At 46.3% G+C, this 14,527-nt stretch overlaps 1 protein-coding gene across 9 annotated transcripts in view, besides 5 other annotated features; it reads left to right on the top strand.

Annotated features, from left to right (window-relative positions):
- The window catches only part of ARRB1 (arrestin beta 1), a 91,540-nt gene extending 84,583 nt beyond the window's left edge, over positions 1 to 6,957 (top strand). For all 9 annotated transcript variants that reach the window (NM_020251.4, XM_017017754.3, NM_004041.5 and 6 more), the window contains one exon: positions 805 to 6,957. In NM_020251.4, the coding sequence (NP_064647.1) occupies positions 805 to 916 (112 nt within the window). In that variant the 3' untranslated portion in view covers positions 917 to 6,957. The remainder of the gene's footprint in view (positions 1 to 804) is intronic.
- Positions 395 to 894: an enhancer, noted in NCBI's record as "H3K4me1 hESC enhancer chr11:74977229-74977728 (GRCh37/hg19 assembly coordinates)". NCBI's record gives its function as "activates a minimal SCP1, AML or CMV promoter by ChIP-STARR-seq in primed H9 embryonic stem cells {active_cell/tissue: H9 hESC(primed)}" and the evidence as "EXISTENCE:reporter gene assay evidence [ECO:0000049][PMID:30033119]".
- Positions 895 to 1,396: an enhancer, noted in NCBI's record as "H3K4me1 hESC enhancer chr11:74976727-74977228 (GRCh37/hg19 assembly coordinates)". NCBI's record gives its function as "activates a minimal SCP1, AML or CMV promoter by ChIP-STARR-seq in primed H9 embryonic stem cells {active_cell/tissue: H9 hESC(primed)}" and the evidence as "EXISTENCE:reporter gene assay evidence [ECO:0000049][PMID:30033119]".
- Positions 985 to 1,074: a silencer, noted in NCBI's record as "silent region_3761". NCBI's record gives its function as "represses an Ori minimal core promoter by ATAC-STARR-seq in GM12878 lymphoblastoid cells {active_cell/tissue: GM12878}" and the evidence as "EXISTENCE:reporter gene assay evidence [ECO:0000049][PMID:35858748]".
- Positions 3,431 to 4,362: an enhancer, noted in NCBI's record as "H3K27ac-H3K4me1 hESC enhancer chr11:74973761-74974692 (GRCh37/hg19 assembly coordinates)". NCBI's record gives its function as "activates a minimal SCP1, AML or CMV promoter by ChIP-STARR-seq in primed H9 embryonic stem cells {active_cell/tissue: H9 hESC(primed)}" and the evidence as "EXISTENCE:reporter gene assay evidence [ECO:0000049][PMID:30033119]".
- Positions 4,721 to 5,220: an enhancer, noted in NCBI's record as "H3K4me1 hESC enhancer chr11:74972903-74973402 (GRCh37/hg19 assembly coordinates)". NCBI's record gives its function as "activates a minimal SCP1, AML or CMV promoter by ChIP-STARR-seq in naive H9 embryonic stem cells {active_cell/tissue: H9 hESC(naive)}" and the evidence as "EXISTENCE:reporter gene assay evidence [ECO:0000049][PMID:30033119]".

The following is a 14,527-nucleotide window of genomic DNA, read 5'->3' as shown; positions in this document are numbered from 1 at the left end:
TGGGGGTCTCAGGTCACCCCATGAGGATGCCCCATGCACTGGCTGAACCCTGTTGGGCAGGGGACCCAGGTGGACACCTGCATGGTCCTAAATGGACATGTTTCATGGTAGAAGGGAACTCGCTGTTCTTAAAGGCAGTCTAGTCCTGAAACCCCACTCAAGCCTCCCCTTTCCTCACGAACAGGTCCTCTGCCCCCCTATTTAGATTCACATCCTCCTACCCCAGCCTTCTTCTGTCTGGGATCCCCCAAGGTAGAATCTGAGCTGACACTTCTGGGAGAAAGGTTCTTCATGGTCTTCTCTTTCATTAAGCCAAACTACTCCTTGCTGTCCAGAAACGGGAATGCTTCCTAAGGGTAGTTTTCTGGGTGGTGGGGTGGGGTTTGCCGGGCCTATTCTTGGGGGATTCAGAACATGCTGTGAAACTACTGGTGGCCTGGCCTCTCACAGTGGGAATAAGTCCTTCCTCTGGCTACAGAGCCACACTGCTCCCCCCACCTCCTAAAGAACCAGGTTACTTTTCTAGCCCTCAGGCACAAGAGTCAAATTCATGCCCCTCTCTGCCCCTTTCATGACTGGCCCGAGTCCTGATGTGACTGTCCCCACTGCCACAGGTGGCATCCACATGTGCCAGCCAGACAGGCCTTTCTGCTCATGGTCAGCCCCAGAGGCCAGAGACCTCAGAGAGGGTGGTTCTCCCCGGCCCCAGAGCCATACTCTGAGTCACATCTGGCCGGGCCTCTGGATAAGCCTACTCTCCCTGCCCCTGCAAACACACCACATTTTCCTTGTCTCTCCCACCAGTGATGACGACATTGTATTTGAGGACTTTGCTCGCCAGAGACTGAAAGGCATGAAGGATGACAAGGAGGAAGAGGAGGATGGTACCGGCTCTCCACAGCTCAACAACAGATAGACGGGCCGGCCCTGCCTCCACGTGGCTCCGGCTCCACTCTCGTGCACTCGGATGCTTACTCGTCTTCTTCCTGTTCTGGTTTCTTTTCCCCTTTGTTCTTCCAGTTTCTACCAGGGGGCCCCGTGGGCTTCCAGATCACGGTGATGAACCTCTGGCCTCAGGATTGGCCCCACATCACCACGCCAACAGGACCACAGCGCACTGGCTCCACCCCATCTCTGCCATCTCCACTCCCCTCCTTTTCATGCTGTCTCCCAGAAAAGCTGCCAGGGCTCTGGCCTTGGAATTGGACTTGAGATGGGGAGCAGACAGGGGAGGATGGGGAATGTGGGACACGGTGTGGTGGGCATGAGGGCTTGGAGGGGTGGGGATGAGGGCTCAAGACACGAGAGAAGATGTCCACGGTCCCAGGTGGTTAACAAAGTTCTGGCAGCTAAAAGATGACCGCGTTGAAGGCCACCTCCTTCTGGCTGGGAGGGGCAGAACTGTGGACAGATTCTCAATGCCTTTTTGAAGTTCTGACCCACCAAAGACCTTCTGCCTTCACCCTCCTCCCCACCTGATGTCCCTCTGTGTCTGATAGTGATGTTGGTGAAAGTTCGTAGACCCCAGGAGTAGAGAAAAGCAACTGGACTGACTTTCTTACCAGCAGTTACCTAGACTGAGGCAAGCTGTGTGGACTCACCCAAGTATATTTCAGTACTGTCAGGCTGTGACATCTTAGCTACCTTGTATTTCAAGTGCATGGCCCTGTCTAGAGATATGCACAGAGAGAAAAGCAGAGGGAGGGAGGGAGGGGGTCTTCAGCAAGCACCAGCCCCCAGCAGAGTGAGCTGAAGCTCCTGAGGAGGGTTCCCGAAGGGGGGCGCTCAGAGATGGGGGCAGGGGGCGGGGAGAGGAGAGTCTGCCTTATGTCCCTTCCTTGTGGACTTCACATGGTCATGCAGGAAGTGAGGATGGGTGTCCAGCGGGGGCCGAGGCCACTAGTATCCTCCTGCTTCCCCCTGCCATTCTCCAGGGCTGGACTGACCCTATGGACTGGGAGAGAGTGCCTGAGGCCACCATGCCACAGTCAAAGGGGGTCCTATCTCAGAAGGTGGCAGCATCCACTGAGATATCCTCACCCGAAGGGAAGGAGGCTGCTGGGTAGCAAATAAGCCCCTTCTTTTCTTGGTGAGTTGATGACCTCCAATAGCTCCCAGTGTCATGGGTACCCAGTACGCATTAGCTGGTGTTGGGTTGATTGAGACCTGGGGCAGTTCCTGGGGCAAGAAGCCAGATGGGAGATGAGATAGAAAGTGTTAGGAGTTATCCTCTTTGCCTGGCCTTTGAGAATAACTTACTGTGTGACTTTGGGCAAGTTCCTTCCCCACTCTGGGCCTCAGTTTCTCACTTGGGAAAGCAAGGAGTTTGACCAGATGATCACAATGGGCCTTCCTAGCTCTGGCCACCAAGAATTTGTGAACATTAGAGCTCCTGGTCTGGTGGGTAGAGCCAGAGCTGCTGACTGGTCTCTCTGCCTCCAGAGGGGATTTATTGGACCTCAGAGGTGGCAGGGCCCTATGGAGCACCAACTGCCCTCAACCCCACCCTGTGCCCAAGACTGGGAAGGGATTGATGTCAGGCTGTGGCCATAGGTAGCATGAGTTGCCCAAGGAGGGACAGAGCATATCTTTGCTGAGGCTTGGCTGAGGGGCTTATGATAGGGCTTGCAGTACCTCACAGCCCCCTGTGGGCACAGACACCCTGAGGTTTACCCAGGCAAATATATTGATTAGCAGGACAAGGGCTCTCTCCTCAGTTTCTGCTCCCTTCCATCTCTCTCCCATACTTGTCTGAAAAGGGAGACAAAAAATCTTATACAAGTGGCATCTCAATCCTTTCCAGTCCAGCACCTCCTGGGGCAGGCAGTGTGACTTATTTCCTGTGGTGAAATCACCTGTTTCACAAGCCTGGCAGCGCGACTTCTGAGTCTCATGACCACTCAACCCAAGGGACCCCTCCCCAGACCAGAACCAAGTCAGCTGGGGGCTGTCGTACTACCCTGTCCAGTCTTGAGGGCCTAGTTGCAGGTCCCCCAGGCATCCAGCCCCTCCTAGAGCTTGCTGGGCAGGCTGCACCTCATCTGGGCAGGCGCAGAGCTGATGAAATGCTGGAGCAATGCATGGCAAACATATGCCCTCCAGTGTCTTCTGAAACCTTTGGGGCTGACACAAGATCCTTTAGTGTTTGGGATGACCTCTTTCCTGCAGACTTCTTCCCCTATCCCTAACTCATGCATGGAAAACGTTTGTCAGGCTGGTTTCCCGAGCCTCCTGCACCTCAACATCACGCTCACCCTTTTGGGTTTAGCCCAGTGTTATTTAGCAAATTTCTCCAGCTGCAGGGAAGGATCAGAGCACTATCTTTTTTTTTTTTTTTTCTCCTGGAGCCAGGACTGCACAAGGCAATGGCCAAATTTAGTTGAATTCAGCCTACCATCCTTTGCTGATGACTCAGCTCTATGCCAAGTACTGGAGCCACAGAGATGGGTCAGTCCCAGCCCCTGTCCTCAGGAAGCCCATGGTCAGGGAAACGTTGTAGGGATAAGTAATAGAGGGCAGTTGCCTTCAGGGCTCCTGGTGGCTGCTGGTCCCTATGGTGCCTTGATGTGAATTAGAAGACGGTGCCCTTTCCAGGTGGATTCAGACCTACACTAGAACGCACAGCTTTGGGAGTGACACACAGGTTGGATTTTAGCACCCCTTGCCCCTTGGCCAGAGGTGCCCTGCTGCACGGCCATACGCTGCAGCCTCGAGGGACACACAGGCCAAAGTGTTTCCTTCAGCCTCTTCCTGGAGAGGAAGCCGCAGGTCATGTTTCCAAGCTTCTGGTCAACTCCAGGCACCACCTCCCAGCCCCCAAACATGGCCGAGCCAGTGCTTCTCTGCAGGGCCCCTTTCCTTTCTGGAGTCAGCCTGCCCAGGTGATACCTTGAAGTGAAACTAGGGGTGGGGGAGCCTCACTAGGCCCCAGGCACCATCCCACAGTACTGGCGGTTTCTCTGCCAAGTGTTTGGGGCCTGCACTGGCCAAGCCATCCGTCACTGGGACTTTGCAGTGTGCCCTGTGGGTGGCGTGTGGACACCGGTCCGGGCAGGAAGGAAAAGCATGCCCCGGTGAAAACCCACCGAGCAGAGAGCCAGCGGGACCTCCTCAGCATTCCACCCAGGGGAAGAGTTCAGTCCCCATGAAGATAAGGACTGAGTTATTTGGCTGCACCTCTCCTCAGCCTCAAAGCTCAGACCTGCTAGAGTGGGTTCACCTGGCTGTTGGTTCTGTGGGAGAGTTCCTGACAAGCTGGTTCCTACATGGTGCAGTGAAAGGAACTCTGTCCTGGAAGTCCCCAATGCCGCCTCTCAGTCCTGCCTGTCACCAACCACCTGGGGGGCTTGGGCAAGCTACTCAACCTCTGGGGCTCAATTTCCCTAACTGTAAAATGGGATTGTAATCCCTTCCCTGCCTGACGCAGGAATTGTTATGAGGCCCAGATGAGATGAAAGTCAGCGGTCAGGGCTCTGTAAGTTGAAAATGGCTGGATGTGTGTGGCCCTGCCACTGCAGGGATGGCCCAAGGTCACACAGAAAGTTTGCTGCAGGAGGAGCCCTCCCCACCAGTCTTCATCGCTTGCCCTGCTTCTCACTTAGGCAGATGTCAACCAGAATGAGATACAGCCAATTTGGCTTTGATGACCCAGCTGAGAGGGAAATTTAGATACAATTCAGGAATATCATGCCCAAAAATAGTGGTCCCAGCAACCAGGACACAGAGGGAAGACCTGGATATTGTCAGTGATTGGTGGAGGGGGACATCTTGGACCCTCCTAGGCCTGGTGTCACATCTCCCATCTCTCAGACCCCACAGAGGCCAAGGGGCCTTGGCTCTGACCCAGGTTAAAGAGAGCCACCAGCCCCCAGGCTCAGGGAGCTGAAACCACCCATCCGCAGAAATCTAAGGGCAAGGAGAAATAGAAATTGTCTGTTCCTTCCCTTCAAAGTGTAAGGCCTCTTCCAGGAGCAACTGGAGCCACCACAGCTTCTCAGTGACATTGGGAGGGCTTCGGGCCCAGGAAAAACCCAAGCCTTTTGTCCTGAGAGCCGAGCCACAGCGGATGCAGTGGCGTCAGCATCCCAGAGCGGCAGCTTCTCTCCTGCCTGTCACTGGGGACTGGTTGCTCTCCACCCATCCAGGAGGAAGGGGTTAGGTCCCAGTCTTACACTCTTATAGGGTCTCATGGACATAGGCCTATGCCTGTTCTGATATCTATAATTTTTTAAACTCAAAAGGACCAAAACACTCCTGAACCCTCATCTATACGGCCTGCACTGGGCTTGGTGTTTCCTCCTGGCCCAGGCAGCTCCATCTCTTCTGCCATTCCTCCTGGACGAAAGTGGCAGGACCCCACCTCTACCACTTCCCCACAGGGTCACTGCACAGCGGCTTCAAAGACACGCCCTGTTGAAGGGGAAACATCCTCCCCCCATCACACTCCAACTCGTCACCCCAAAAGGGAAGTCAAAGCACAGGTCCGTGGGGCCTATGGTTTGTAGACACTGACACAGTGGTTTTCAAACCAGGTGCTGCGGAACCCCTGATATTCCACAGAGCTTTGTCAGGGGATGCTAAAGTGGGAAGATGGGAGTGGAGGCAAAGGATAGGTTTCCAGCCCTCCTCCCATTTCCGCCGCCACCAGAATAACTCTGCTTTTATCTGTCTTGCCTACTGAGATTTCATTTTCAAGCTTTCTTTGAAGAAGAACTTCAAACCACCATCTCGAGGTTTGATCTTAGACCAGCCAGCACAGGTTCTATTCTTGCTGTTCATGTTGGAATGGCTCCAGCGTTCCAGTACAAAGTGTCTTTGTGTTGGAACTTGGGTCACAGACCCAGGCACAAGCATTTATACACACACACACACACACACACACACACACACACACACACGTACATAGTTGATGGTTTTTCTAGCCAACCCACCCTGAAGCTCTGGCCAAGGTTTGATTTGGACAGGGACCTGGTGCTCAGTGGGGATGGGTCGTGACCCTGATATTGGCCCATGAAGCATGGGGAGCTCTGGAGCAAGGAAACAGGCTCAATCCCCCACTGAGGACTTGTGTCTGCACCCCTATCTGGCACCCCACTTTCCTGGCCTAGGCCCAAGGGACACAGCAGGAGAAGCAGTGTGATAGGAGAGAGGCTAGGGTTAAATTCATCTTTACACAGCGCCGGATGGATGGAAATCTTGGCTCACATAAAAGACAGACTCAGGGAGGATTTTATGACAAAAGTCCCTCCTTTGAGGGCAGGATTCCCCCAGGAATCCTGGACACTTTAGTGAGAACTGGACCAGCCCTTGGCACAAAACCCTGCCTGCCCTGTCCCCCACTCCCACCCCCCAGGGAATTCTAGGTGAAAATGTGAAGCTCAGGGCACAGCAAGCGCATGACACGGGTGTATTACATTCGGTCCGAGTGTGTCCTTAGTTTCCCTGTGTGCAAAATGGGGCTAGTCCAGGCTCTTCCCACCTCACTGGGACAATTGCAAGGGTCATAGGAGAGGTGGGTATGATAGGTGGTCATATGAGGTGGTGAGTATGAGAGGTGGGTGCCTCACAAACTCGGGGTATGGTCCTGACCTGCATGGCAGATGAGCAGAGCACTTGGGAACGAGCATAGGAAGTGCCATCTTCCCGGGCATCTCTGCTCAGTGTTAAGGTCTAGCCACAGACACTGTGGGACCTGCCTCTTCCTATGGAATGGGGGCCTGCATGGGTTGTGTCCTGGGGCAGGAGTGAGGGATGGCTGGGAAGAATCTCCAGGTCTGTGGCCCTTGTGTTGAGTGATTATTTTGTGACACTCTCATTCCTGGACCACCTGCCAGGTTTATCTGTTATACCTGTGGCATTCTTATTATGTCAGACAAGTTATTATAGTTCATTCAACTCTAACAAATGAACAAAAGAACAATAAATAGGAGGCCATTAAAGGTCTTTTGTGGCAGAGGATGCTGGCTGTGCTTTCATTTCTGTCTCATAAGCCCATGGCAGGTCAAAGACCAAGAAATGCCTCCCTGCTGCCCTGGACTGGCAGATGGGGCTCATGACTGGGTGAGGTGCTCTCTTCCCTTGTCTGTGGCCCCAGCTCCAGCCTGGTCCTTGTACCAACTTCTGGAGACTGCCAAAAACTTTTCTCCTGTCCCTCTTCTGCCACTTTTCAGCCTTATGGCCTTGGGAAGCTGGCATACCTCTCATCCCTCTCAGATACCACAGGATTTTGTGACCCATGGTTTGCTCCTGGGGTGAAGCCATCCTATCTTCTATCTTTGGCACCACTGACCACATCAGTGGGAGTCCTCACCCCAGCCCCAGCCCTGGTTCTTGTTCACTTCTTATCTCCTGCCCTGCTGGGTCTTCCTGAAGTCACTTCAGTTTTCAAAGACTTATGTGCCACCTGGTCTAACAGAACATATGGGAGGAGTAAGGATATCAGTGAGGAAGAGTCGATGTTCTAATAGATAATGTACTGTATTAACACAAAAGGAAGACGCCCATGCATATAAGATGACTTTCCTAGAAAATTAATTATATATGAAATATATATATATATATTATTTATTTATTTATTTATTTATTTATTTATTTATTTATTTTTTGAGACAGCGTCTGGCTCTGTTGCCCAGGTTGGAGTGCAGCGGCGCGATCTCGGCTCACTGCAAGCTCCACCTCCCGGGTTCACACCATTCTCCTGCCTCAGCCTCCTGAGTAGCTGGGACTACAGGCGCCCGCCACCACACCCAGCTAATTTTTTGTATTTTTAGTAGGGACAGGGTTTCACCGTGTTAGCCAGGATGGTTTTGATCTCCGGACTTCGTGATCCGCCCGCCTCGGCTTCCCAAAGTGCTGGGATTACAGGCGTGAGCCACCGTGCCCGGTCTATATATATATTTTTTGAGATAGAATTTTGCTCTGTCACCCAGGCTGGAGAGCAGTGGCGCGATCTCGGCTCACTGCAACCTCCGCCTCCCGGGTTTAAGCGATTCTCATGTCTCAGCCTCCCTAGTAGCTGGGATTACAAGCATGTGCCAACACGTTCATCTCATTTTTGTATTTTTTGTAGAGATGGGGTTTTGCCATGTTGGCCAGGCTGGTCTTGAACTCCAGGTGAACAATATATTTTTTAACATTCCTGTAAAATACTGTGCAATGTAGATCAGAACATTGCCCTCCTGGTTGCCCAGAAAGGAGTCTTTTCCTCTGATGTTCCCTTCCAGCCAGAGTAGGGCAGTGGGAAGACACTGACATTTGAATCAGGAGACTTGAGCTACAGCTTTTGTTCAGCTGCCCTCGCATATGGACTGTGTCAGTCTGAGTCCAGATAAGCAGTCTATCCCTGCAGCAGGAATTTAATTGGGCCAGATGCAGTGGCTCATGCCTGTAATCCCAGCACTTTGGGAGGCTAAGGCAGGAGAATCTCTTGAGGCCAGGAGTTCAAAACCAGCTAGGACAACATAGGGAGACCCCCCGATCTCTCAAAAAAAAAAAAAAAAAAAGAGAGAGAAAAAACAACTGAGAGTAGTAGTGCATGCCTGTAGTCCCAACTACTTGGGAGGCTGAGGCAGGAGGATCCCTTGAACCCAGGAGTTCAAGGCTGCAGTGAACTATGATTATACCATTGCACTCCAGCCTGGGTGGCAGAGTGAGAAACTGTCACTTAAAAAAAAAAAAGCCAGGTGCAGTGACTCACTCTTTGGGAGGCTTGCTTGAGCCCAGGAGTTTAAGGCCAGCCTGGACAACACAGCGAGACTTCATCTCAAATTTTTTAAAATAAAAAAAAAAAGAAAGAAATTTAATTGGGGAAATGTTTATTAAAATGTTGGATGAGATGAAAGTGCAAATGGGGTTTGAGACCACCCAAAGATGTGGGACAATAGGAGACCATTACTACCCCTAGGGTGGAGGGACAAGGAGAGGAGCTGAGGAACCAGGGCAGCCTAGCAGGAACATTGGGGAAGAGGGTATCTACGAAAGCCAGAAGCACAGAGGAAACATCACCCTTGCTGGGAATGCTGCCCAAAGCAGAGAGACTGGAGACATGCTCTGGCTTCTTCTCTCCTCCTGTCCTCCAAATTTAAGCCAGAGCCTCCTATTGGCAGAATCTAATTAAAAGCTGATTTTCAAGAAATATGAAAATGTAGTTTGCAATGGTCAGGGCCTGACAATACAGAGCAAGAGAAGGTCAAGGGATTTGATCTGAGATCAAACAGGCAAATGGCAAGCTCTTCCTTAGTGTTCTCATCCAAAAAGTAGAAGTAGTTATGTTGGCCTGGTTACCACAATTTGGAAGGAATGCTTTGACATCTGAACAGGATTCCAAACAAGGGAGAGATATTTGCTGTTTTCTCATAGCTTTCAACCTTAATGCCACTATCACTGTCTTCACTGTGCTTTGGAGCTTCATTTCTCCTAGCTTTTTTAAACTCCAGCAAATCAAAAGAAACTGAGCAGGAGGTTCAAATTCTGGCCAACATGGAGTAAATTCATTATAGCTTATCTCTCCTACTGATTACACCGAAAAACGCTGGACAAAAATACAAAACACAATTAAATAACAACTCTGTGAAAGTTAGACAAAAGAAGGCAAATGATACAGGTGAGTTAAAATTTAGAGAAGTCATCTCCATAGGATGATTTTCCCATTTTTCTCTTTTCTCGTGGCTTTTCACTAAGATTAGAACCACCATCCACAGAAAGTGAGACAGAGCTTAGAATGTGAACTTAAGTTGGTTCATTGCCTCCTGAAACAACAATAACAACACGATCAACATTCTATAGAGGATTATAGCAGGACCCAGAGTCTATACAATATAACATTCACAATGTCCAGGACACAATCTGAAATTACTCAACATACAAATATGGTAGTCCCCCCTTATCTATGGGGGATAAGCTCCAAGATCCCCACTGGACACCTGAAACTGCAAATAGTACCAAACCTTTTATATACTATGTTTTGTTCTATACATACATACCTATTATAAAGCTTAATTTATACATTAGGTACAGTAAGAGATTAACGACAATAGCTAATAATAAAATAGAACAATTATAACAAATGCCAGCATCACTACTTTGCACTTTGGGGCCAATGTTAAGTAAAATAAGAGTTACTTAAACACAAACACTGTGATATTGCAACAGTTGATCTGATAACCAAGATGGCTACTAAGCGACTAATGGGTAGATAGCATACACAGCCGAGGTACACCAGACAAAGCGATGATTTACGTCCCAGGCAGGAGAGAATGGGTCACTGTGAGATTTAATCACACTATTCAGAATGGTGTGCAATTTAAAACTTATGAATTATTTCTGGAATTTTCCATTTAATATTTTTTATTTCTGGAATTTTCCATTTAATATTTTCAACTGTCATTGAGTGCAAATAACTGAAACCAGGGAAAGTAAAACTAAAGATGGGGGAGTGGGGTGACAACCCATAAAAATGTGACCAATCCTCAAGGAAAAATACAATCAACAGGTGCCAACTCTAAGATGACTTAGATGTTGGAATTATAAAAGATTTTGAAGTGGCTGTTATAACTTGAAATGGATTGAAATAGTTCTCAACAGAGATATAGAAACAATTAAAAAAGAACCAAATGGAAATTTTAGAACTGAAAAATACAATATCTGAAATTAAAAATTGATTGGATAAGTTCATAGCAGAATGGGGGGTTGACAGAAGAAAGAGCCAGTGAACTTGAATATAGATCAATAGAAATTATTCTATCTGAAAAAACAGAGAAAATAGGTTGAAAGAAATTAACAGTCTCAGGGACCTGTGGAACAATATCACAAGGCCTAAGATTCCATGTCACTGGACTCCCAGAAGAGAGGAGAAAGAGACTGATGGAGAAAAAATAGTTGAGAAAATAATGGCCACTAACACCCCAAATTTGGTAAAAGACATAAATTTATAGATTCAAGAAGGTGTGCAAATCTCAAACAGGTTAAACTCAAAGAAAATCACACATAAACATACAAAATATCCAAACTTATGAAAACCAAAGACAAATTTAAAAATCTTGAAAGCAGCTAGAGAAAAGGACACATTCTTGTATTTTCTTCCATACAAAGGATGACTATCAGAACGTGGATTTCTCAATAGAAGACATGGAGGCCAGAAGAAAGGAGTACAACATCTTTACAGCACTAAAAGAGTTGTCAACCCAGAAATCTATATCCAGTGAAAACATCCTTCAAGAAGGGTGCAAAATAGATTATCAGATGAAGGAAAACCAAGAGAATCTGTCACCAGCAGACTTACTCTTAAAAAAAAAAAAAGCTAAACAAAATTATTTAGTTTAAAACAATGCCAGAGATAAACCCAGATGTTTAGAAATTAAGAGCAACAGAAATGGTAATTATCTGGATAAATTTAAAAGGCTATATTTATCATTTATCCCCTAATCTTCTTAAGTTCTTTAAAGTACTTATTATTGGCGTTTTTTGTTTGTTTGTTTATTTTTTGTTTGTTTGCTTTTTGACAGGGTCTCGCTTGGTCATCCAGGCTGGACAGGCTGGAGTGTAGTGGTGTGATCATAGCTCACTGCCACCTTGAACTCCTGGGTTCAAGTGATCCTCCCACCTCAGCCTCTTGTGTAGCTGGAACTACTGGCATGCACCACCACACTCAACAAATTTTCTTTATTTTTGTTGTAGAGACAGGGCCTTGCTATGTTGCCCAGCTGGTCTTGAACTCCTGAGCTCAAGCGATTCTCTTGTCTCAGCTTCCCAAAGTGCTGCGAATACAGGCATGAGCTACTGCACCTGGCTTATTACTGTTGAAAAAAGATTTATAACATTGTCTGATAGGTTTACCAATGTTGATAAATAGATGAAATACATATAACAACTATAATGGAAAGGTCAGTGGAGGGAGAGAAACCTATTTGTTTTCTGTTTTTGTTTTTGTTTCTTTTGAGACAAAGTCTAGCTCTTGTTCCCCAGGCTGGAGTGCAATGGCATGATCTCGGCTCACTGCAACCTCCGCCTCCCGCGTTGAAGCGATTCTCCTGTCTCAGCCTTCCGAGTAGCTCGGATTACAGGCGCCTGCCACCATGGCCGGCTAATTTTTGTATTTTTAGTAGAGACAGGGTTTTACCATGTTGGCCAGGCTGGTCTCAAGCTCCTGACCTCAAATGATCCTCCTACTTCAGCCTCCCAAAGTGCTGGGATTACAGGCGTGAGTCACCGCACCCGGTAAACCTATTTGTTTTTAAGGCTTCTATATTACATTTGAAATGGTGAAATGGTACAGTGTTAACCCTAAGTAGATTGTGAAGGGTTATATATGTATATTGTGGTCCCTAGAGCAACAACTAAAATAGAGCCGAACATATAGATAAATCACAATAGTAAAAAAAAATTTTAATGACATATTAAAAATATCCAAGTATTCCAAAAGAAGACAGGAAAGTTGGAACAAAGGAATAAAAAATAGGGGTACAAACAGAAAAATAAAAGTGGTAGACCTAAATACAACCATATCAATAACTACACTAAATGTAAATGATCTCTACATAACAATTAAAAGATAGAGGTTGCTAGATTGGATTAAAAAACAAGATCCAATTATATGCTGTCCACAAACATACTTTAAATATAAAGAAACCTACTTTAAATATAAAGACATAGATAGGCATGTCTTTATGAAAAGAATGAAGATATACCATGCAAACAATAATAAAAATAAAGCTGAAATGGCTATATTAATACCAAACAAAATAGACTTCAGAACAACAAATGTTACCAGGGATAAAAAGGGACATAAGTAATAATGAAAGTGTCAATTTACCAAGAAAACATAACAACCCTAAATGTGTGTGCATCTGATCATGGTGTTTCCAGATACACAAAGCAAAATGTAATAGAATCAAAGGGAGAAATATACAAATCCACAACATTCCTCCCTCAGTAATTGATGGAACAAGAAGACAGAATATTAGTAAGGATATAGAAGACCTGAACAACGATATCAGTTTGACCTAATAGACACTATGGAATATTTCATCTCAAAACAATTGACTATGCATTTTTTTTCAAGTGTACATGGAACATTCCCCAAGAACTATTTTCTGGGAAAAACAACCTTAACAAATTTTAAATAATTTATATATTTTTTATTTTAAATTTTTTTATTTTTCTTTATTGAGACAGGGTCTCACCATGTTGCCCAGCCTGGTTTTGAACTCCTGGGCTCAAGCAATCCTCCTGCCTCAGCCTTGTAAAGTGCTGGGATTACAGGCGTGAGCCACCACACCTGGCCAAATTTAAAAGAATTTAGTAAGTACATTCTTTGGTCACAGCAGAATTAAACTAGAATAACAGAAAATTATCTGGAAAATTTGCAAATATTTGAAACTTAAGCAATTTCTAAATGGGCCAAAGAAGAAATCACAAGGAAATTTATGAAGTGAAATGAAAATAAAAACAAATATCTAAATTTTGGGGTTTGAGCAAAAGCAGTGCTTATCTCAACAGATGCAGAAAGGCACTTGACAAAATTCAACATCTGTTCATGATTTAAAAAAGCAAACCGCTCTTAGAAAACTTTCTTAACCTGATAAAGAGCATCTACAAAAAAACCTACATCTACTAACATAGTTTATGGTGAGAGACTTAATACGTTTCCTCTAAAATTGGGAACAAGGCAAGGATGACTACTCTCACCACTCCTATTTGACATTATACTAGACGTCCTAGCCAGTGCAATAAGACAAGAAAAAGGGAGAAAAGGCCTACTGATTATAAAGAAGAAATAAAATAAGGCCAGGCACAGAGGCTAAATAACTGTAATCCCAGCACTTTGGGAAGCCAAGGCAGGAGGATCACTTCAGCCCAGGAGTTTGAGACCAACCTGGGCAAGATGGCAAGACCCCATCACTACAAAAACATTTAAAAATTAGTCAGGCACCGTGGTGCATGCCTGTAATTCTAGCTACTTGGGAGGCTGAGGTGGGAGGATCCCTCAAGCCCAAGAGTTAGAGGTGGCAGTGAGCTATGATTGCACCACTGCATTGCAGCCTGGCAACAAAGAGAGACCCCCGTCTCTAAAAAAAGAAAATGAAAATGGTTTCTATTCACAGACATCTTGATTATCTACATTAAAAATCCTAAGAAATCTGCAAAAAAATAGCTACTAGAAATAATAACTGAGTTTAGATAGATTGCAGGAAACATGATTAACACACAAAAATCCACTGTACTTCTGTAGAGTAACATGCAACAACTGAAATAGAAATTTAAAAGATGATGCCATTTATAACAGCACCCGAAACTGAAATACTCAGATACAAACCTAACAAAATATGTGCACAATCTCTATGCTGAAAAGTAAAAAGTACTGATGAAAGAAATCAAATAGGCCCAAATAAACTGAGAGCTATACCATGTTCACAGCTAAGAAGATTCAATATTGTTATGTCAATCTTCCTCAAAGTGACAGTAGATTCAATACAATACAAATCAAGACCTCTGTAGGATTTTCTTTTAAAGACATAGAGAAACTGATTCC

Source organism: Homo sapiens, chromosome 11, assembly GCF_000001405.40.
Source record: "Homo sapiens chromosome 11, GRCh38.p14 Primary Assembly".
In the NCBI taxonomy this organism is placed as follows: Eukaryota; Metazoa; Chordata; class Mammalia; order Primates; family Hominidae; genus Homo; species Homo sapiens.
Note: the sequence above shows the minus strand (reverse complement) of the source record. Positions and strands in the feature narration are given on the sequence as shown.